This window comes from Homo sapiens, chromosome 4, assembly GCF_000001405.40.
Source record: "Homo sapiens chromosome 4, GRCh38.p14 Primary Assembly".
Taxonomy (NCBI): Eukaryota; Metazoa; Chordata; class Mammalia; order Primates; family Hominidae; genus Homo; species Homo sapiens.
In genome coordinates, this window is record NC_000004.12 from 7,954,489 (window position 1) to 7,976,282 (window position 21,794).

Below are 21,794 nucleotides of genomic sequence, written 5' to 3' on the forward strand. Positions count from 1 at the left end.
GGGAGGCAGAGGCAGAATCGCTTGTGGCCAGGAGTTCAAGACCAGCCTGGGCAACATAGCAAGACCCTGACTCTACAAAAATACTTTTTAAAAAATAGCTGAGTGTGGTGGCATGCACCTGCAGTCCTAGTTACTTGGGAGACTGAGTTGGGAGGACCTCTTGAACCCAGAAGTTTGAGGTTACAATGTGCTATGATGATTGCACCACTGCAGTAAAGGCTGGGTGACACACAGTAAGACCCTGATTCAAAAACATAAACAAAGAAAAGAAAATTTATTAATATATTAGATCATAGTAACAGGTCTTTCAAGGAGAAAAATCATGCAATCATATCCAAAAGTTCAATATTCATTATTGATGTTTAAAAAAATTCAATAAGGCTGGGCATGGTGGCTCATGCCTATACTCCCAGCACTTGGGGAGGCTGAGGCAGGTGGATCATTTGAGGTCAGGAGTTTGAGACCAGCCTGGCCAACATGGCGAAACCCTGTCTCTACTAAAATAAACAAAAATTAGCCAAGTGTGGTGGTGTGCACCTGTAATCCCAGCTACTCAGGAGGCTGAGGCAAGAAAATTACTTGAACCCAGGAGGTGGAGGTTGCGGTAAGCCAAGATCGTGCCACTGCACTCCAGCCTGGGCAACAGAGCGAGACTTTGTAAAAAAAAAAAAAAAAAAAAAAATCAATAAAATAGAACTGGATGCACATGAATGTTCCCCTAGCCTGGTACAATATAGCACTCAAAAGCCAGCATCAGTTTGGGCACAGTGGTCCACACTTGTAATACCAGCACTTTGGGAGGCTGAGGCGGGTGGATCACTTGAGGCCAGGAGTTTGAGATCAGCCTGGCCAACGTAGTGAAACCCTGTCTCTACTAAAAATACAAAAAAAAAAAAAAAAAAAGCCAGACATGGTGGTGCAGGCCTGTTATCCCAGCTACTCAAGAGGCTGAGACACGAAAATCACTTTACATGGGAGCCAGAGGTTGCAGTGAGCCAAGATCATGCCACTGTACTCTCACCTGGGTGACAGAGTGAGACTCTGCAAAAAAAAAAAAAAAAAAAAAAGCAAAGCCAAGCCAGCATTAGACTTTAGGCAGGGACTTGTAGAAGGATTCCTACTGAAACCCATCAACATCACCTCTATTTAAAATTGCACTTGAGCTGTACTGTTGAACCAGAGATAAGACTGGAGACGGGTGGAAGAACAAGGTGGGTTATCGTCAGGAATATAAGAAAGAGTGTTGGCTGGGCACAGTGGCTCACGCCTGTAATCCCAACATTTTGGGAGGCTGAGGTGGGAAGATTGCTTCAGGCCAGGGGTTCCAGACCAGCCTGAGCAACATAGCAAAACCTTGTCTCTACAAGAATAAAAATAGGCCGGGCATGGTGGCTTATACCTCTAATCCCAGCACTTTGGGAGGCCGAGGCGGGTGGATCGCCAGAGGTCAGGAGTTCATGACTAGCCTGGCCAATATGGTGAAACTCTGTTTCTACTAAAAATACAAAAATTAGCTGGGCGTGGTGGCAGGGGCCTGTAATCCCAGCTACTCTAGAGGCTGAGGCAGGAGAATTGCTTGAACCCAGGAGACGGAGGTTGCAGTGAGCCGAGATCATGCCACTGCACTCTAGCCTGGGCAAGAGAGCAAGACTCCGTCTCAAAAAATAAAAATAAAAATAAAAAATAAATAAAAACATTAGCCAGCATGATGGTGTGTGCTCAGCAGGCTGAGTTGAGAGGAACTCTTGAGTCTAGGAGTTCATTAGCTGAGACCTATTCTGGAACGTGCTACCTCCCTGGTACTCCAGGCCTGCCCTACATGCAGGTTGAGCAAGATCCCACAGCTGGAGACGCAGATGTCTGCATGAGAAGCCTATAGGACACACAGCAATGTTGAGTGCCCTGGGGCTGCAGGCATGGTGGTGTGTACAGGGAATTCTGAGCTGATACAGAAAATGTCCTAATCAGGCACAATCAGGGCATTGTGGAGCCCTGAGGAGGGACTGACTCACCCTCCGGCCACTCTGGCATGGCTCCTGGATGGGCCATGAAACTTCCTGTCCTGAGGCCTTTGCCTGTGCCATTTCCTCTGCCTGGAAGGCCCCTTCCCATCCCTTCCTGGCTGGGGCCTTGGCTGGCTGACCCCTGCTTGCCCCTTTGGATGAGGCTCCATTGGAACTTGGTGCTGGACTCCTCCCAGACACCCGGCTTCCCTCCTGACGAGGGTCTTTCCACACCAGCTCTGTCTACACCAGCACCGGCTGCCCTGTCGCGCTGGTGTCTGCTCCTTGGATGTCTCCTCCACCAGTCTGTGATCAGTCCTTGAGGTCAGGGATGGTGGCTTATTGATCTGCATTATTAGCACTCAGTTCAGTAAATATTTGTTGATGAATTGTGTCAACCTTAAATAATGAGATTCAGAAAATACGATCAAGTACAGAGTTTATTTGAGCACAAAGCTTGGGTATGGCCACCCAGGAAGGCACCGACTCTAGATGAATGGAGTCAATGTTTCCAAAGTGGAGGAGTTAAGATTTCACTTCCAGAGTGAAATCTGTCACTTCCAGAGACGGAGAAGTTCCAGTAGGGTTACAGCATTTTCCATGCAAGACCAGGTGCATATGCCACAGTGATTTAGTTGGTTACAAGTTGCTACATTCCCAGCAAGATTACTTTATTACTCTGTAAGGAGGGGTAGTGATCTGAGGGAGGTCTTATCTCTGGCGCCATTTGGTCGTAATTATTTACAGAAAAAAAAGGGTAAAAGGTGCAGCTGCATGAGCATGACGCAGGCTGCATAGTCACATTTCTTCGAGGCTTAGGAAAATTTAAGTTCCAACAGCCGTAAATTCAAATTATCTTAAATTTGAATTATTTAGTTTCGCAACCAGATTATTTGGGTATAACAGTTGTGGGAGGGGGAGTTGTGTCTCAGCTGGGTACTGAAGGATGAATAGGAATTTGCCAGAGGGGGCATTCCAGGCAGAGGGAAGAGCCTTTGCAAAGGACATGGTGTTTGAAAAGCAGGTGAGACGGTGCTGCTCAGCAAGGAAGGGTGCAAGAGGGAAGGGCCAGGAAGAGGCTGGAGAGGGAGGCAGTGGCCAGATGATGGCCGGTGAAGGAGCTGGGGCCTCAGCAGGGAAGAAATTCGTGAAGTGCCCCCAGTAGTGCCAATCAAGTCTGCAATACATATTGCTGTGGGCTGCTGAGCAGACGATAGACTGGAGGGTGAAAGAAACCGAGATATTTCACCCCAAAATATACATCTTTGACACATTTCAAGATTGCTATTTGGAAGGGATGGAGCTGTAAGAATAGCCAGAAAACTTTTTTTTTCAGACAGAGTGTTGCTCTGTTGCCCAGAGCTGGAGTGCAATGGCATGATCTCGGCTCACTGCAACCTCAGCCTCTTGGGTTCAAGTGATTCTCCTGCCTCAGCCTCCCAAGTAGCTGGGATTACAGGTGACCGCCACCACATCCAGCTAATTTTTGTATTTTTAGTAGAGACGGGGTTTCACCATGTTGGCCAGGGTGGTCTTCAACTACTGACCTCGTGATCTAGCCTGCCTCGGCCTCCCAAAGTGCTGGGATTACAGGTGTGAGCCACCACGCCCAGCCAGAAAACTATCTTTTGTTGGGGAGATTTGCATCTGTAGGGAAACCTGCATTGATGCAGTCCAGCTTTCTCTGAGGCCTTCCTTGGTCCGGATCTAGGAAAGGTTAACTAAGTCGGACGCCTTTAGAGCCTGAAAGAAACATTTCCCATCTATCCTGAGGACTGCTACCTGCAAGGTTTCCTCCTCTTCCCTTCCATAACCTCTTTTGCTGAGATCCAAGCCCTTATTTTTTCTGTAACTTCAAGATGGTATAAAAACATCAACTATCTTTCCTTTCTTTGAGAGCTTATATTTTGCTCCACAAGATAATGTTTGCCTCTCAGGCCCATTCAAATTCCAAAGAGAACCCTTTACAAGTTAGTGTCTTTTATTTTAATTGTTTTAACAGGTGGGGATACTCAGCACTATACAAATAGGAGAATCATTTACAAGTTGATTTTATTCTCCCTCATATTCAAGTACTGCTCCTCTAAAAATCCCCTACAGGCCAGGCACGGTGACTCACGCCTGTAATCCCAGCACTTTGGGAGGCCGAGGGTGGGGGGTGGGAGGGGATCACCTGAGGTCAGGAGTTCGAGACCAGCCTGAACAACATGGTGAAACCCGGTCTCTACTAAAAATACAAAAATTAGCCCGGCGTGGTGGCATGTGCCTGTAATCCCATCTACTTGGGAGGCTGAGGCAGGAGAATCGCTTGAACCCAGGAAGTGGAGGTTGCAGTGAGCCGAGATTGTGCCACTGCACTTCAGCCTGGGCAACAGAGTGAGATTCCGTCTCACAAAAAAAAAAAAAAAAAAAAAAAAAATCCCTACATTCTTTATCTCCACCCTCCCCTATGAAAAAGGGTAGAAAAGCTTCTGCACCCCTCACTCTGTTGCTCCTCCCAGCCACCCCATTCATATGAATAAACATGTATGCCTTTTCCCCTATCAGTCTGCCTTTGTCTGTCGACTTTCAGTGAGTCTTCTGTGGGTGAAGGGTCCCCATGGCCCCTGCAAAGGAGTGGCATGGTATATAAATGTTACAATTGAGAGAGACTCAGGGTGTTAGCGGAAGGGGAAGCTGGTAGCAGGTAGGGTTTGCTAATGGAGCTCTCAGAAGTGACGTCTGGCTGAGGAATGAGCCTCACAATTCAGACATGAGAAAAGGAAAGCTCTTCTCTTTATGAAACCCAGTTCAGCAATAGGCCCGGCAGCCTCTGCTGGTACCCCAGGGAAGCACTGATTTCCTCTCCCGTTTAATTGCTCGGAAGGGCTTTTATGCTTAGGGACTTGCCCCTCTCGGCTCTGTGGTACAGAAACTGCTGAATCCCAGGCTTCTCCACAGAGCACCCGCCCTAACCCCAGCCAGTCTGCTTGAATGGGTGGGCTACTCCCCCGACCCCAGCCTTCATCCCCTCTGGAAGGTGGAGTTGGGAGGAGGGCAGTGGGGACCAGATTCTGGAATGATGCACCTTTAACTTGTGTAAATTGCATTAGCTTAAGTAATACATGGGTCTCCGGCCGGGCGTGGTGGTTCACGCCTGTAATCCCAGCACTTTGGGAGGCCGAGGGTGGGCGGATCACGAGGTCAGGAGATTGAGACCATCCTGGCCAACATGGTGAAACCCTGTCTCTACTAAAAATACAAAAATTAGCTGGGCATGGTGGCGGGTGCCTGTAATCCCAGCTACTCAGGAGGCTGAGGCAGGAGAATTGCCTGAACCAGGGAGATTCTCCGAGCCTGAACCAGGCTCGGAGATTGCGGTGAGCCGAGGTTGTGCCACTGTACTCCAGCCTGGTGACAGAGTGAGACTCCCTCTCAAATAAACAAATAAATAAATAAAATGGGTCTCATCTCCAGGCAGTGGGGCAGCCTGGGAACCCAGAAAGGGGAGTGAGGTGGATCACAGCAAGGAGAGGCCAAAAAAAAACAGGGTAGGGGAGGGCCCTCCACAGGCACAAAATGAAGGCAGCTTAGGGATGGCTGCTTTGGGAGGGACAAGGGAAGGGACCCAGCTGGCCTTCCTTCGGGGCCAGAAAGAAGTGTACCTGCTAAAGGCATGGCCAGAAGCAATGGAGCACACGCAGTGTTCCCAGGGGGACGGAGACCATCTGGGGAGCCTCGAGAACCAAGGCTGACAGGAAGCAGCCTCCCCGACAGGGAACACCGGGCTCCACCATCTAGGACACAGCCAGCTGTTACCCTCACTAGCACGGTGGAGTGCTGTCCACACAGTCCTGTCCACACAGTTGGACCCACCTGTCCACACAGTTGGAGCCCAGGGGTCCAGTGTCAGTCCTGGTGACCTATTGAGGGAGGTGGGTATTTGGAAGGAGGTAGCCTTGCAGGACCACCCCTGGTCCCCCGTCCAACCTGCCACCTGCTCCTCCCAGGCACATGAGGGGCTTCTCTGATTGGTAAGATACCCGGCTGCCGGTGGCCCACTGTAAGGTGACCTGCACACCAAGCTCTGCTCCTGGCCTCTGGGCAGGCTTGCTCAGAAACACTCCCAGGCAAGATGATGCATCTTATCACAAGCCAGAGTGTGGGGTGTGGAGTGGCATGAGTGACTGGGTCTCTCACCCAGTCGTTGACAGCTGGGTAATCCTGAGCAAGTTACATAGCCTCTCTCTGTGCCTCAGTTTCCTCATTCATAAAGTGGGGACTCAGGAAGGATTGGCCTCCTAGGATTCTCTGAGGACCCTGTGGGGATAAGAGCGACTTTATTTTAAATCCTAATCCAGCATGTGACTCCTGACTAACCCAAGTCCGGGAATGCCTCCAAGATGTCGAGTTGATGTATTGCTCTTTATGTAGAAACACCTCTTCACCAGCCTTTCCTCCAAAACAACCCTTGGTGTTGCATACACGATGGGCTGTGACGCCTGCAGCCACCTACACATTCCTTCCAGAGCACGTATACTTTTTCTCCAATCTGTGGGTCTGTGCGGTTGTGGTGCAGAGATCTGCTGTCTTGTGGCTGCCCGAGACCACATTTCTGTTTGTTAAGTTCCCCCTCATAAATCACCCTTTACTGAGAAACTGGATTTGTCTGCCTCTTTCTTTGGTTTCTTGGCTCCCTCTGCATTTGGGGACCAATTTGCATATACGGCCTTTTCAGGAAACAGGCCCCACGTGGTCAGAGAGGAAGAAATGCCTGCTGTGATGATTCTCTTCTTCACCTCCCATGGGGGCTCCCGGGCCAGGCCCCAGGCCTGGGCTGGAGGTGGGCCTGGAGACCCATGCCCCTGGGCTCACAAGCAGACTTTGTCCCATGCAGCTGCCTCTTCTTCACCCCGCACGGCCAGCTATGACCCTGGAAGGACCTAGGTCCAGGTTTGGGACGAGGATGGGGGTGGGCCACAGTGGAAAACTTTTCTGATCTAAAATACACTGAGCAGGGGCCGGGCGTGGTGGCTCACGCTTGTAATCCTAGCACTTTGGGAGGCCGAGGCAGGAGGATCACTTGAAGCAAGGGGTTCAAGACCAGCCTGGCCAACACAGTGAAACCCCGTCTTTTCTAAAAATAGAAAAAAATGCCTGGGTGTAGTGGTGCATGCCTGTAATCCCAGCTACTCAGGAGGCTAAGGCACAAGAATTGCTTGAACCTGGGAGGAGGAGGTTTGCAGTGAGCCGAGGTCGTGCCACTGCACTCCAGCCCAGGCAACAGAGTGAGACTGTCTCAAAATAAATAAATTAATAACCGAAAAATAAAATAAAATACACTGAGCAATATCTTCCAACTCAGTCATTCCGGAAGCTCTGCATTTCAGGATTTGGGGACTGGTGCATTAGGGAAACTGATCCTTTCCCTGGGCCATGATCCCTCTCCTCATGCTGGTTCTCAGCTCAGAACCCAGAGGGGGCCAAGTGCGGTGGCTCACACCTGTAATCCCAGCACTTTGGGAGGCTGAGGTGGGTGAATCGCCTGAGGTCAGGAGTTTGAGGCCAGCCTGGCCAACATGGTGAAACCCCGTCTCTATGAAAAATACAAAAAATTAGCTGGGCATGGTGGCTCAAGACTGTAGTTCCAGCTACTTGGGAGGCTCAGGCAAGAGAATCACTTGAACCTGGGAGGCAGAGGTTGCAGTGAGCCAAGATCTCACCATTGCACTCCAGCCTGTGTGACAAGAGCGAAACTCTGTCTCAGAAAGAAAGAAAAAAAAAGGCCGGGCACGGTGGCTCACGCCTATAATCCCAGCACTTTGAGAGGCCGAGGTGGGCGGATCATGAGCTCAGGAGATCGAGACCATCCTGGCTAACACGGTGAAACCCCGTCTCTACTAAAAATACAAAAAATTAGCCGGGCGTGGTGGCAGGTGCCTGTAGTCCCAGCTACTTGGGAGGCTGAGGCAGAAGGATGGCGTGAACCTGGGAGGTGGAGCTTGCAGTGACCTGAGATCACGCCACTGCACTCCAGCCTGGGCGACAGAGCGAGATTCCATCTCAAAAAAAAAAAAAAAAAAAAAGAACCCAGAGGGGAGGCAGGATGGGCTTAAGTGCAGCCCAAGTGGTCAGCAAAGTCCACCAGACTCTGCCAGCCCTGATGCCCTCTGGGCTCCCCCTCTTCCTCCTCTCCTGGCGAGCATCTCTCCTCCCGCTTCTCTTTACCCATGGCCTCTGCTGGCTCAGGCTTCTGGCTGAGTGTTCCCTGCTTTGCCCACCCCCCCATCAACTCCCTGAGTGTTTCATGACCTCCCTGGGAGGGCTTCGGATCGGGTAGATCAATGTCCACATAGAGCAAAGTCTCTCCATGGGGCACAGCTGTTGCCCTGGGCCACTAGGGATCCACTCTGCCGATGGCTCAGGGGCCATCCTTGATCTGATCACCTGTGCTGGGGACAGCAGGTCACAGAGGAGAACATGGTGCTGTGTGGGTGAAAGCCCTCCAGGAGGGGGCACTGAACATAACAGAGACTTGGGGGGTATGGGGGCCAGGCTGGAGCCAGCGTGCAGATCTGCGTGGATGAATAAGTGAATGGCTCACCCACAGAGGACGGTGGCCAGGGCAGGGGAGGGCTCCAAGTGAGTTCACACCAAGAGCCACCGAAGGCACTGGGGCTTGGACTTGGGGAAGAGAAGATACCCGTGTAGCCTCGGCTGTAGCTGGTAAGGCTTGCTCCCGGTTTTCATCCTCCCTCTTCTCAGACAGACGAATGCCTGTGCTCCCTAGACCCTTTTGCAGCTGGGCAGGGTCATGTGACTAGTTCCAACCACTAGAGGTGACATGTGTCACTTTTGAACCAAACACTAAGACCCGTGTGAGATTTGTCACGTTCTCTTGCCTGGCTGCAGTGAATTCTGAAGCTTTTGGTTCAGATTTAAGTAGCTTGGAATGCACAGCTGCCCTGGGGAGAAGGGCTGAGGATGGAGGCCCTGCAGGCACCGATGTCTCCCTGCCCATCTCTCTCGGGAGTTCCTCACACAGGCCCAGGTTGGTGCTGATCCGGGAAGGTTGGTGCCACCGTCAGACATGAAGACTGGCATGGAAGACTGAGCCAAACCGGCTTAGAACCTGGGGCTCTGAGATTCAGATGGCAGACGTCATGGGCCTGGAGGGCAAGAACTGTGCCAAGCACACCCCTGCACCCAGGACAGTGCCAGGCACAGATGCATGCTCAGCAAGTGCATTCTCAATTGATCCTATAGACCAGGCACCAATGAACACTTGTTGCGAGACAAGAGTGACAGATCCCAAGGCCTGTGGACATGCATGTCTCAGCTTAGGGCAGCAGCGGTTTCTAATCCTCAGGGTGCTGCACTGTCTAGTATGCAGCCAGTAGCCACACGTGGCTCCTTAACTCTAAATGAGTTACATTGAAATCTCCGTTCCACTCGCATTGGCTGCATTTCAAGCGCTGGTGGCTGCCGTGTTGGACAGTGTGGATGTAGAATGTCCTCGTCATCACAGGCAGTGCGATAGGACGGTGCCATGCTAGAAGCACGAACGCCATAAGACTCTTTGGGGAAAGCACAGAAACCAGATGGACTCCAGCCTTGCTACGAAATACTCCAAAGATATTCCCAGTTCATAGAGCGTGGTTACAAAATCGTCAGTCCTCTCGGGCTTAGGGTTTGATGGAGGGAAACGGTCAATAAAGTGAGAAAGAATAAACTGTGGGCCGGGCGCGGTGGCTCACATCTGTAATCCCAGCACTTTGGGAGGCTGAGGAAGGAGGATCACCTGAGGTCAGGAGTTCCAGACCATTCCTGGCCAACATGGTGAAACCCATCTCTCCGAAAATACAAAAAATTAGCCAGGTGTGGTGGTGCACGCCTGTAATCCCAGCTACTCGGGAGGCTGAGGCAGGAGAATTGTTTGAACCTGGGAGGTGGAGGTTGCAGTGAGCGGAGATCGTGTCATTGCACTCAAGGCTGGGTGACAGAGCGAGACTCTCTCAAATAAATACATAAATAAAATAAAATAGAAGAAACTGCTGATACACAGAGGGCATGAGGAGGTACTGTGAGGAGGGTGGGGATGGGTGGCAATTTGGAAAGTCAGCAGAGGGCCCTGTATGACAGGGGAGTTTCTGAGTCGAACTGAGAAGGAAGGGAGGGGCCCTGTGTTGAGAAGAAGCAGAGCTCCCCCAGGAGGGAGATCATGGGTGAAAGCCGGAAGGCTTGGTGTCTGCAGAACTCAGAGAGAGCCACAGTTTGGGGCTGTGACCATGGGGACTTTCCTTCCACTCTTTTCCTTGGCCCTGTGCTCAGCCATAACCAGCCACCGAATTTTCCAGAACCTGGGAGGCTGTTTCCAGCCTCAGCGCCTCCGCTACTGCTGTTCCAGCTGCCCGGGATGCCCTTCCCTTACTGGGGAGGTATTTATTCCCTTACCTCCCATTTATCAAGACTTAGTTTGGGCAGCATCTTGCCCAGAAAGCCTCCCCTGACCTAGGGGTGTATTTGGGGCCAGCTCCACAGAGCAGCGATCAGCCTGGCTGCCCTTGTCTCCCCAGCCTCCGGGGCAGGTGCGTATCAGGTTTCCCTCATCACTGCCATCAGCAGAGGGCCTGGCCCTGGTGAGGGCCCAGGAATGTGTCAGTGCAAGCTGCCTCTGGGGAATGTCCTACAGGGCCCTAATGCAGACACTTGGCCCCTCCCCAAGGCCTCACCTGCCCCATGCGCACACCCAGCATTGAGCCTGGAGCGGGTGCCCTCCGCAAGCACTGCTTGCAGAAGGGGCCTTGCCTTTAAAATCACACAAGTTCATAACAAGTGATCTTGTACTTCCGCAAGTTATAATGCATCGTCTTTTATTTTCCAGGCTTCCTGGGATCAGATATGACATTGCACTAATGAGAAATGGGGGTTTCCAGTTGCTCAGGCTCAGATTGCGCAATGGCAGGAAGCATATTAGGTGCTAAAAACTCCCCCTCCCTAGCCGAGCTGGGCGGGTGAGAAGCCGAGTGCGAAACGGGACTTGGCGTGTCATGGGCGCTAAGGAAACGGAGTAAGGCCGACTCACAGGCAGGAACATCGGGACACACACAAAGAGGCAACACCCACTGCGGACGGGGAAACAGACTTTGGTGTTTCATCCACCTCTCAGCGCGCTTATCAGCATCCTGTGACGGCCGGTGCTGCACCCTAACACACACCTAATGACAGACACCAACGCCTTCGCTTGGGGAGCCCGGCCAGCCTCCTGCTCCGGGATGCCCTGCTGGCTTCAAAGATGAGAAGAGCCACATCTCCATCCTATCTCCATCCTATCTCCATCCTTCTCTCCCCAACAGCGTGTGGTTGTCTGTTTCAGGGAGCACATCGCTCCTGGGGCATGTGGGGTTTATGTTTCAGGCTGAGACACCGCCAGCCACAGCACAAGGACGGTGCATCAAGAGCTACGTCGGGTATTAGGCAGGGTACGTGGAAACCCTTGATTCCAGGGCTTTGGCCATCAGAGGAGGATGTTTTCTCCCCAAGACTTGGAAAAATAACAGCAAGGAAAACAGTGGTGGCTATACCTCACATGTATTTACAAAGCGTTCTTTAGAGGGGTCTGTCTTTAAGGTTACCTGTGTGACGAGAAAAAGAAAAAAGAAAAAGAAAAGAAACTAGACAGGGAGCTCTGTGTATGAGGACCACACCAAGAACAGACTGAAACCACACAGATCCGAGCGGTGGAGAATAAGGCTGGAGGCCGCTCCCCTGCGGAGGGACCGTAAAATTAAACTCTATATATGTCATCTCGCGTTTAAGTAGGCTATACTTTTTAATAAAATAAAAACTTCTGTGTTACTTTAAAGATATTGTGTAGGCATCTAGGGGTCGATCTGGAGGAGGAACGCAGCGCATGGAGGGGCGCTGGCGGAAGGTGCCCTGTCTTGTCCCTTGTTGACATTTGTCCCTAAAGAGACCCATCACAGACGCCTGCAAAAATCACACACCCCACTCTTGGCACTGTCCCAGACGCTCACTGCCCCGTCTGCGAGTCTGCCTGTGAGGCCAGGCTGCCCAGGCTCCGAAGGGCCGTGTGCCCACCCCCGATGATGGTGTCAGCAACCATCATCAACAAGCCTCACAGCTCACGTCCCGGCCACCTCTGTCCCCCACGTGCCCAGCACCGGGGCCAGGGCACCTCGAGAACGCTGGGAAGGTGGGCTGGGCTGCAGCCACCTGTGTGCTCCATCTGATGCCCGACACAGCCACTCTACAGCCTCTCCCTGACACCAAGCCACAGCGGGGAAGGGTGGCGTGAAGCTAGCCGTCTCGGCCCTAAACTACCGGCAGGAGTGTCGCCGGCAGGTGCAGGGGCCGCACCTGCTGGGGGACCCCCTCCCGCCCACCCCATGGACACAGAGAAGCCAGAGCAAGGTGTGTGGGAGGGGTGTGTGCGGTTCTCGCCAGGGGCCCCTGGCCTCGGCGCCCGGCACACACCAGTGGGGCAGGCTGGCAGCCGTCAGAACAAAAGGGCTTTCTTCTTAAGGTCATTCCTCTTCCAGAGGGCCAGGCGGTCAAACTCCTCGATGCTCATCCCAAACACTTCCTGGAACTCCTCGGGCGACAAGTGTCTCTTCAAACAAAAAGGCAAAACAGAAGGGACCAGTTAGCCACGCAGCAAGGGACACCATTGGGCAGTTTGCTGCCGCCAAGCAATCCAGGGGCAGGATTGCATTGAGGATGGGGTGGCCCTCAGCGTGCTCGGCCTCCTGGCGGTTCCTGACACCCTCTCTGCAGTGAAAGAACTGAGCTCAGAGGACAGCGACCCTGCCAGGGACACACAGCACCCAGTGGTGGAGCTGGAGCCAGAATCTTCTGCTCTTGACTCCTACAAAGGTATCTGCTGCTGTGGACCAAGTTCATTAACATGTCCCAGAGCAGGACCCCCACCTGCGTGCAAATGTCTGAGCTTTTATAGATTTCCTTCAGTGGTCATATTTGTTACTTCAGTGAGTGGTCACAGCTGCCATCCGAGAGCAGGAGGTGGAAGGTTTACCCCCGGGACTTCGTAGCCCAGGAGGGTGGGGCGCGGACAGTGAGCAAGAATGCCAGGCACGGCCCAGGCCCAGGCGCAAATCCTCCCTCCACCGGAAGCCCCTGGTGTGTAAGCGTGAGAGAGCTGTTGTGCCTCTCTGAGCTCAGCTTCTTGTCTGTGGTCACCGTGGAAAGGCACACAGCTTGGTGGTCAGGGCGTGGATACCAGTGCTTCTGGGATGCCATAGGAGTGAGTTAGACCCTGGAGCCTCAGTCTGCTCATCTGTGTAATGGGGTCCCCTAGAGCCCACACCCTGGAGCTGTGGGGAGGAAGGCGTGGACATAGGTCAGCACTGGCTGTGGACTGTACCCGTGGGTGCTGGCTGCATGTGTTAGTATGACCTCAGCCACCGCAAGCTCTGTGGAGCTCCTTGCCAAGCAGCCACCTGCCTTCTAGCTCTGCCTTGCAGGGCCTGCAACCCCTACTCTCCTGCCTGTCTTCCTCAGCAGGCTCTGAGAAACCCCGCATCCCTCAGAGCTGGCTCAGGCGTCCCCTCCCCTAAGGAGCTTTTCTAGGGAGCCTGGGACTTTCCATCCACGGGGATGCTTCCCTTTGCTCCCCTCGCCTCGCCTGGGCGGGGCTGAGAGGAGGAACTGGAAAGAGGCTGGAGAAGGCCAGTGACAGGAAGAGGCCAGGCTCTGCCCTGAATCACCATCTGCTGCCTTCTGAAAAGCGTGGCTTCAGTGCAGCTCTGTGGGGAGTTTTCTGTAGTTCTGCGACACACTCCACACAGTTATCATATGCCCCAGCCATCCACTCTTGGACAGACACCCGGAGGAATGGAAAACAGGGACTCAGAGAGATGATGGTCGCCCATGTTCCTAGCAGCATTACTCTAAATCACTGCAATGTGGAAACAAACCAGGTGTCCATCAATGGACGAATAGATACACAGAATGTGACATGTCCATGTGACGGAATAGCCTTCAGCCTTAAAAGGTCGTGAAGTTCCGACACATGCCACAGCATGGATGAGCCCCAAACACACTGGCTCCATGAAGGAAGCCAGACACCAAAGACCACATAGTATATGATTCCACTTCTCTGAAGTGTCCGGAACAGGCAAGTCCATAGAGACAGAGCATGGATTCGTGGTCGCCAGGGACTGGGGGAGAGAGGAATGGGGAGGGACTGTTTAACGGATATGGGGTTTCCTCTTGTGGTGAAGAAAATGTTCCGGAGCTGGAATGTTCCGGAGTTGGAATGTTCCGGAGCTGGAGAGTGGGGTTGGTGGCACAATGTTGTGAATACACTGAACTGTACTGAATGGTACACTTTAAAATGGTTAAAATGGGCCGGGGGTGGCAGCTCACGCCTGTAATCCCAGCACTTTGGGAGGTTGAGGCGTGTGGATCACCTTAGGTCAGGAGTTCAAGACCAGCCATGGCAAACCCCATCTCTACTAAAAATACAAAAATTAGCCAGGCATGGTGGCACATGCCTGTAATCCCAGCTACTCGAGAGGCTGAGGCAGGAGAATCGCTTGAACCCAGGAGGTGGAGGTTGCAGTGAGCTGAGATCACACCATTGCATTCCAGCCTGGGTGACAGAGTAAGACTCCATCTCAAAAAAATAAATAAAATAAAATAGTTAAAATGGTCAATTTGGATGGGTGTGGTGGCTCACACCTGTAATCCCAGCACTTTGGGAGGCCAAGGCGGGCAGATCACTTGAGCTCAGGAGTTTGAGATCAACCTGGGCAACATGGTGAGACTCCATCTCTACAAAAATTACAAAAATTAGCTGGGTGCGCTGGCGTGTACCTGTAGTCCCAGTTACTGAGGAGGCTGAGGTGGGAGGATCTCTTGAAGCCAGGGGGTTGAAGCTGCAGTGAGCTGTGATCACACCACTGCACTTCAAACCTGGGTGACACAGTGAGACCCTGTCTCAAACAAACAAACAAACAAAAAACTCAAGTGCTATATTAGAATCACTGTGATTAGCAAAAGAGAAAATGGAAGTGGAGACATCTGGTCAACTATGAAAAGTGTAAACCATTGCCACTCACGCATTTCACAAGAATCACCAAATCTGTGTGGTATGCCCTGGATTTTGCAGCCCCAGTAGTTGGGGTGATCTGGAGGAGGGACTCAGGAAATCCCCCAGAATGCCATGTTTTAGTTGAATCTGGGCTCAGAGTCAGTCTCTCTTTCTCTCTCTCTCTGACACACACACACACACACACACACACACACACACACACAGCCTATCCAGCAAGTCTGCCAGGAAGAGGCCCTCAGCCGCCTGCTGCTATCTCGAGTTTGCAAAGAGGAAAAGAATCCTGGTGCTTGCCAGAAATGAACCACTTGCGTGGTGCTGAGATCAGGGTTTCTTGGTGCTGAGAAATCCATCAGCCAGTCCACAGAAACTTAGAATTGTCATTTCAGACCGCGTCTCTTAAGACATTTGACACTCAATGTGTCATTTAAGATAGCAGCCCTGCACTTACAGGTACAAAATCACCATCTTCTGAATTATGGTGGAACAATCAAGACGGATGAGATCAAAGGAAAGAAAAAGGAAAATCATTTCTAGCTTTATCCAAGACCTGGTGATACCAGACCTTGTTCCAGACATGGAAAGTCAGAGACACAAGGCCCCTGGCAGGGGTAGGCTGGGGTGGTGAACTGACACGTAAGTAAATATGTAAAGGAGGGGAGGCTGACACCGGAAGGGCGAGGAGAGTTCAGTGCTGGTGCCTGGGGCAGGCCTCCCTGTGGCCACATTCCTGCTTCCTGCTGGGGGAGGCTAAGGGAGGGGCGCAAAGGTGCTGGTGGGCAGAGGGAAGGTGTCAAGGGGGTGGTGTGCCCCCTGCCATCTGCAATCGTGTACTTAAAGGGAGGAGGACTGGTGAGTGAGTGGTCTCTTGGGTTTAGCTGGCATCAGGTCTTTGCTGGAGGAGGGAGGAGTGGAGAGGGAGCGGATGGTGGGCAGGCGTGCCCCGCATGCTGGGGAAGGAGAGAAGGGCAGGCTTGAGGATGACACCATGTGCTCCAGGCTGTGGGAGCCTCTGGGGAGGGCGATTCGAGGAAGACTTGGAGCTGGCGGGCAAGCAGGAAGGCTGGCAGGGTGTTGGGAGGTGGGTGTGGGAAGCAGAGGTGCCCTTGGGGATGACTGTGGGGGGGCGGTGGAGGGAGCATCTGGGTGGCTTCTGAAGTTGCTGGGAATGGTTACCTTCTCTGGGAGTGTGGCACTGGGACTGGGACGCTCCATCACCAGAGGCCCTGGGGAGCAGCCTGGTTGGGCAGACCACAGCAACAGGGAGGGGCCGGGGGTGTCCCGAGCATGTGGGCTGGGCCAGGCCACTCGTATGTGGCCTACAGGGCCCAGGACTTGGGGCCAGGGGTCTAGGGGGCTGACAGGGACCACCTCCCCGCAGGCTCCAGTCCTGTTTTCTGTCTGCAGCGTGAGAGAACTTGGTTGCCTGGGTATCCGGAAGGCTGGGTGAGGGTCACATGAGGGGCTCTCCGCAGCAGGGGGTCTGTTCATAACTCTGGGCTCCAGCTGTGGAATTCTGAGTGTCACACCTCACCTGGCTGAGTCTCCACTGCCTCCTAGGTGAGAGGGGCTCAAAGGTCCTTACTCTGTGGCCAGCTGCAAAACTGGCATTCAATCTCACTCAGGGCCAGAGGCAGGCAGGCTTTCTCCATGGGTCTGCCAGGGCAGGCAGGGTGGGTGAGGCCCAGCTGACCCCAGAGACTGGGCCAGCTTTCTGGCCTCAAGCCAGCTCCTCTGACCCCAGGTTCCTGAAGGCCCTGCAGGAGTGCACCTCACCCCCAGGGCCCGCGCAGGACAAGCACAGCTGGAAGGAAGGAAGCCTGGGGTGGGGGTCTTTGCAGAGGGTGGGGCAGCCTCACTGCTGAGGTGCACTGGTTTCCCCAGGGAACATCCTGCAGGGAGGCATTTTTGCAGCATGGCAGGGGGACTGCCTCAGGAGGCTCAGGCTCAGAGAGGTTGTGTGACTTGCCCAAGGTCACATAGCCAGGAAGTGGCAGAGCCAGACCTGGGAGCCAGGTTAGGTGGCTTGACCTTTCCTCCACCCTTACTTCCTGCCTCCCACCTGGACCTCCAGGGCCATCTCAGGTTTGCGGTGAAGCCTCAGGGACCTATGCCACCTCCACTCCATCAGGGACAGGTTGCCCTGGCCTACCCCCCTACCAACCTCCAGCCCTAAGTCCCCTCAGGGTACTCCCAGCTTCCCTGACCCCACCAAGCTCAGAGGTACCCCTGGGAGGGACTCTGACACCTCCTTCCTCCACACAGCCCACCAGTCACAGCCACCCCTCTGTACCAGCACAGGGCTGGCTGACCGGGTGGGCCTCAGGTCCTAGCCCTGCTCAGCCTGGGCCCCCAGGGCCAGCAAGGGGCCACTTTTCTCCCAAGGCCTGGGCTCCGTGGTGCATTCCACCGGCTCACACTGCCTTGGCCTGCACAAGGAGGCCCTGCATACAGGGGTGAGTCTTGCTTAAGCCGGGCCCAGGCCCGGAAGCTCCAGCCCTCCCAGCAGGAGGTCCCTGCAGGACCTACAGTGACATCACTGTCATAATGACGGTGGCCATTGCCCCTCCAGGAGAGCCTTCCCTCCATACCCCGGGACCTCTTCCACAGCCTATGGGGCACAGAGGGGACAGCGGCTTAGCGGGGCAATGACGTGGCTGTCAGGTGGCCCCAGGGCCCTGCCCCTCCACAGCCTTGCACGCCTCTTCTCCACTCCTCTGCTGCGTGGTGTACTGTGAAAGCCCAGGGGAAGCACCATGCAGTGCTCCCTCTCCCATTCACCAGCAGCTCTTCGTCATCCTACTGGTCCTGACTCAAGTGTCCCCTCCTCCTGGAGGCCCTCCTAGATTGCGCTCACCAAGCAGGCCCTGGGGCTATGCTGTGTCCCTCAAGGCTGAGTCAGTGCTGACCTTCTCTGGCTCTCAGCACCATGAGGGTGGGCACAGGCCTGTCTGCTCACAGCACTGTCCCATCCTCACTGAGGGACAAGATGTCTGGTCTGCATTGTGAATCTGAATCTGGGCTGTCCCCTCTGCAGTGCTGCCTCCCAACACCTCCAGCTTCCACTGCCTGTCCTGCTCTCTGCTGTGGCGCCACGGGGGCTCCCCCGCCACTGTCCTGGCCTACGAGGCCCCTGCATTTGGCCTCTGCCTGCCACTCTCCTGACTCCCGACGCTTTCTCCCAGCCACACAGTTCTGCTTGTGTTTCTCTTCCTTGTCTTGGCCAGGGAGGCTGGGATTCTGGTGCAAACCCATCTCTCAGACACACCCATGTGGCTCCAAACCTCCTATTGTCACCCTCAGTCTACCAGGACACACCCTCTCATCAGACCAGTTGGATGAGTTTAAACAAAGGAGATATTCTTTCACTGTGGGGCCCTTATTTTTCAGGCGCATTCCAACAATTTGGGCTCTCACTGCTTGAGCAAACCCTGGTGTGCATTTGGCCTCAGGGCCTGGAAGACGACAGTTCAAGAAACCACAGGACTCCAGCAATGAGCTGCTCCCCTTGCTGTGTGTGTGTGTGTGTGTGTGTGTGTGTGTGTGTGTAGGGTGAGGGATGGCAAGTAGGAAAGGAATTCCAGGAAGAATAAAGTGCATGTGCAAAGGCCCTGGGGCAGGAGGAGCCTTGGCTGCTGGAGGAAGCATAAGAAAGCTGAGGTGTCGGCTGGGCACAGTGGCTCATGCCTGTAATCCCAGCAGTTTGGGGGGCTGAGACGGGTAGATCAGGAGTTCGTGACCAGCCTGGCCAACATGGCAAAACCCCGTCTCTACTAAAAATACAAAAATTAACCAGGCGTGGTGGTACATGCCTGTAGTCCCAGCTACCCGGGAGGCTGAGGCAGGAGAATCACTTAAATCCAGGAGGTGGAGGTTGCAGTAAGCTGAGATTGTGCCACTGCACTCCAGTCTGGGTGACAGAGTGAGACTACGTCTTGAAAAAAAAAAAAGAGAGAAAAAAAAGAAAGCTGAGGTGTCTGGACCTGAGCCGGGAAAGGTGAGGACAGGATAGGCCCTGCAGGGCCCTGGACCGTGTTAAGCAGTTTGGTTTTTAGCCTAAGAGCAATGGCATTTATGACTAAGTGTGCAATTTACAAAAACTCCTGTGGCTACGGGGTTGTTTTCCTGCTAAGCCCTGCCCTGCCAAGCAAGCAGAAAGGTCTCAGAGTGTGAATCCACGAGCCATGGACCGGGAGGGCCTCAGGCCAGACAACAAGTCCCTTTCCACCCATCCACCTTGCGTTCTGAGATGGCTGAGCTGTATGTGTCGCCGTGGCTGGGCTGTGGGGCCCAGTTGTTTGGTCATGCATTAGTCTAGATGCTGCTGTGAAAGTGTGCTGCAGATGCGGCTCACACTGACAGTCAGCTGACTGCAAGAGAAGGAGATCGCCCTCAATAATGCAGGAGCCTCATGAAGTCTGTTGGCAGCCTGAAGAGTAAATACTGAGGTTTCCCAGAGAAGAAACCCAGCCTGGAATATCAACTCCTGCCTGAGTCCCCGGCTTGCTGGCTTGCCCTTCACATTGCAGAATTGCCAGCCTGCACAATTGTGTGGGCCAAGTTCTTAAAATAAATTTCTTAGTATATGGCTGTGGCTATCTGTCTGTCTGTCTATCTATCTATCTATCCATCCATCCATCCACCCACCTACCTACCCATCCATCCACTCATCCATCTATCCATCCATTCACCTATCCACCCATGCATTCATCCACCCACCTGCCCACCTACCCATCCACCCATCCACCAATCCATCCACCCACCAATCCATCCACCCATCCACCAATCCATCCACTCCTCCATTCATCCATCCATCCACCCATCCACCCATCCATCCACCCATCCATCCACCAATCCATCCACCCACCCTTCCACCCACCCACCCACTCATCCATCCACCCACACACCCATCCATCCACTCATGTATCTATCCACCCATTAATCCATTCATCTGTCCACCCATGCATTAATCCACCCATCAATCCACCTAACCGCCTACCCATCCACCCATCCACCAATCCATCCATCCAATCCTACCATCCAATCCATCCATCCATCCATCCACCCATCCATGCATCCATCCACCCACCTACCCACCTATCCATCCACCCATCCATCCACCAACCCATCCATCCACCCACCCATGCATCTATCCACCCATCCATCCACCCACCCATGCATCCACTCATCCATCTATCCATCCATCTATCTATCCATCCATGCATCCCTCCATTCATCCACCACCATCCATCCACCTAATGGTTCTGTTTCTCTGGAAAACCCTGGTTGATAGACTTTCCTATCTAAGGAGCAATATGCCTGTCTGTACTGGGAAGTTGGGGACACCTAAGACAGGTTAGAAATTCATTTTCAGGCTGGACGCAGTGGCTCATGACTGAAATCCCAGCACTTTGGGAGGCTGAGGTGGGAGGATCACTTGAGCCCAGGAATTTGAGACCAGCCAGGGCAACATAGTAAGACCCTGTCTCTACAAAAAGTAAAAAATTAGCTGGGCGTGGTGGCACATGCCTGTAGTCCCAGCTACTCAGGAGGCTGAGGTGAGAGGATCACTTAAGCTCAGGAGGTTGAGGCTGTGGTGAGTTGTGACTGTGCCACTGCACTCCACCCTAGGTGACAGAGTGAGACCCTGTCTCAAAAAAAAATTCATTTTCCACACTGCAATTAACTCAGAAGACAGCATATTGCAGTGGCTCTCAGCAACACCTTAGTTTGAACCTCAGCTCTGCCTCTTATGAGCTCTGTGTGCTGAACCCCGCTCTGCATGTTGGCACCACCTGATTCATCTGACCCTCTTCCATGGGACAGCCCTCCCAGAGTGGAAGAGGATGATCACAGCTTCTCCACACTCCTGCGTACTTATCCACTCTAACTGAACACCTACTATGTGCCGCGTGGCACCTTTCACTGCTGCGTGGCTGGACATCCTGCATCCCCTTGGCCATGCCCCATCAGTGAGTGTTAATCACATCTGCCCACATGCTGCTCCACTAAATGATGTCCGCTCCATCCCCCTTGAAACCAAGGGACTCATCTGATTGGGCCTCCAAACTTAATCTGCCTGCTTGCTTCTAGTCACTTGCTCCTTAATTTTTTAACATATATAGCTAAAAGTCACGTGGCCAAACAATATCTAACTAAATTCCCACTAGCTCCCTTACGGATAACATCTCTGATGTGTGCGTCGCTATAGTAACGGTTGCTTAAAGTTGTGTTTTGGGAACTTAGAGTTAGCTCTTGTCCATTTTAAGCCAGTAGAGACCATGAGCCCTTCAAGTAGGCCTGAGCGAATGCCCGACTTCAGAGGGCCAAAAACACCTTTCTCGGATCACGCTAACAATGTCTTTTTCTTAAACATATGTCCCACGAAGAACCATGTAGCTCAATCGTGTTCAGGCAAAGTCCCCATGCCCTCACCTTTCCCACCAGCAGTCATCTTTCCCACGCCTTAGACCACCCACTTCTTATTCCTCCCTAGGCCCTACTCTTCTGGGAGGCAAGTTTGAGATTTGTTCTGCAGTCTCCTTGCTCAGCAGTCTTGTGAATAAATTTTTCCTCTTTTGTGAAATCCACTGTCACAGTGACTGGCTGCTGCTCATGGGCACAGAGCATCTGGCTGGGTGTCACCATCGCACCCGCACAGCCTGCAGCGACACCTGGGGTACTTTTCCATCACCAAGTTCCGCCCCTTCGACTTCCCA

General features: G+C 53.1%; 1 protein-coding gene and 1 long non-coding RNA gene across 44 annotated transcripts in view, besides 6 other annotated features; one reads left to right on the forward strand and one right to left on the reverse strand.

Moving 5' to 3' along the window:
• Positions 1,618-2,119: an enhancer, noted in NCBI's record as "H3K4me1 hESC enhancer chr4:7957833-7958334 (GRCh37/hg19 assembly coordinates)". NCBI's record gives its function as "activates a minimal SCP1, AML or CMV promoter by ChIP-STARR-seq in naive H9 embryonic stem cells {active_cell/tissue: H9 hESC(naive)}" and the evidence as "EXISTENCE:reporter gene assay evidence [ECO:0000049][PMID:30033119]".
• Positions 2,120-2,619: an enhancer, noted in NCBI's record as "H3K4me1 hESC enhancer chr4:7958335-7958834 (GRCh37/hg19 assembly coordinates)". NCBI's record gives its function as "activates a minimal SCP1, AML or CMV promoter by ChIP-STARR-seq in naive H9 embryonic stem cells {active_cell/tissue: H9 hESC(naive)}" and the evidence as "EXISTENCE:reporter gene assay evidence [ECO:0000049][PMID:30033119]".
• ABLIM2 (actin binding LIM protein family member 2) overlaps positions 10,839-21,794 on the reverse strand; it is a 193,487-nt gene continuing 182,531 nt past the window's right edge. For all 42 annotated transcript variants that reach the window (NM_001130086.2, NM_032432.5, NM_001130085.2 and 39 more), the window contains one exon: positions 10,839-12,615. In NM_001130086.2, coding sequence (NP_001123558.1) covers positions 12,502-12,615 — 114 coding nt within the window. In that variant the 3' untranslated portion in view covers positions 10,839-12,501. The remainder of the gene's footprint in view (positions 12,616-21,794) is intronic.
• Positions 14,074-14,368: an enhancer, noted in NCBI's record as "tiled region #6491; HepG2 Activating non-DNase unmatched - State 23:Low". NCBI's record gives its function as "activates a minimal TATA promoter and a strong SV40 promoter by Sharpr-MPRA in HepG2 cells {active_cell/tissue: HepG2}" and the evidence as "EXISTENCE:reporter gene assay evidence [ECO:0000049][PMID:27701403]".
• Positions 15,271-19,663, forward strand: LOC124900657 (uncharacterized). 2 transcript variants are annotated; one of them, XR_007058012.1, is made up of 2 exons: positions 15,271-15,711; positions 18,466-19,663. It is a non-coding gene; the product is annotated as an uncharacterized LOC124900657 (long non-coding RNA). The 2 variants fall into 2 exon arrangements; XR_007058011.1 differs by having other exon boundaries at positions 15,280-15,927.
• Positions 17,019-17,574: an enhancer, noted in NCBI's record as "H3K27ac-H3K4me1 hESC enhancer chr4:7973234-7973789 (GRCh37/hg19 assembly coordinates)". NCBI's record gives its function as "activates a minimal SCP1, AML or CMV promoter by ChIP-STARR-seq in naive H9 embryonic stem cells {active_cell/tissue: H9 hESC(naive)}" and the evidence as "EXISTENCE:reporter gene assay evidence [ECO:0000049][PMID:30033119]".
• Positions 17,575-18,131: an enhancer, noted in NCBI's record as "H3K27ac-H3K4me1 hESC enhancer chr4:7973790-7974346 (GRCh37/hg19 assembly coordinates)". NCBI's record gives its function as "activates a minimal SCP1, AML or CMV promoter by ChIP-STARR-seq in naive H9 embryonic stem cells {active_cell/tissue: H9 hESC(naive)}" and the evidence as "EXISTENCE:reporter gene assay evidence [ECO:0000049][PMID:30033119]".
• Positions 19,377-19,456: a silencer, noted in NCBI's record as "silent region_15255". NCBI's record gives its function as "represses an Ori minimal core promoter by ATAC-STARR-seq in GM12878 lymphoblastoid cells {active_cell/tissue: GM12878}" and the evidence as "EXISTENCE:reporter gene assay evidence [ECO:0000049][PMID:35858748]".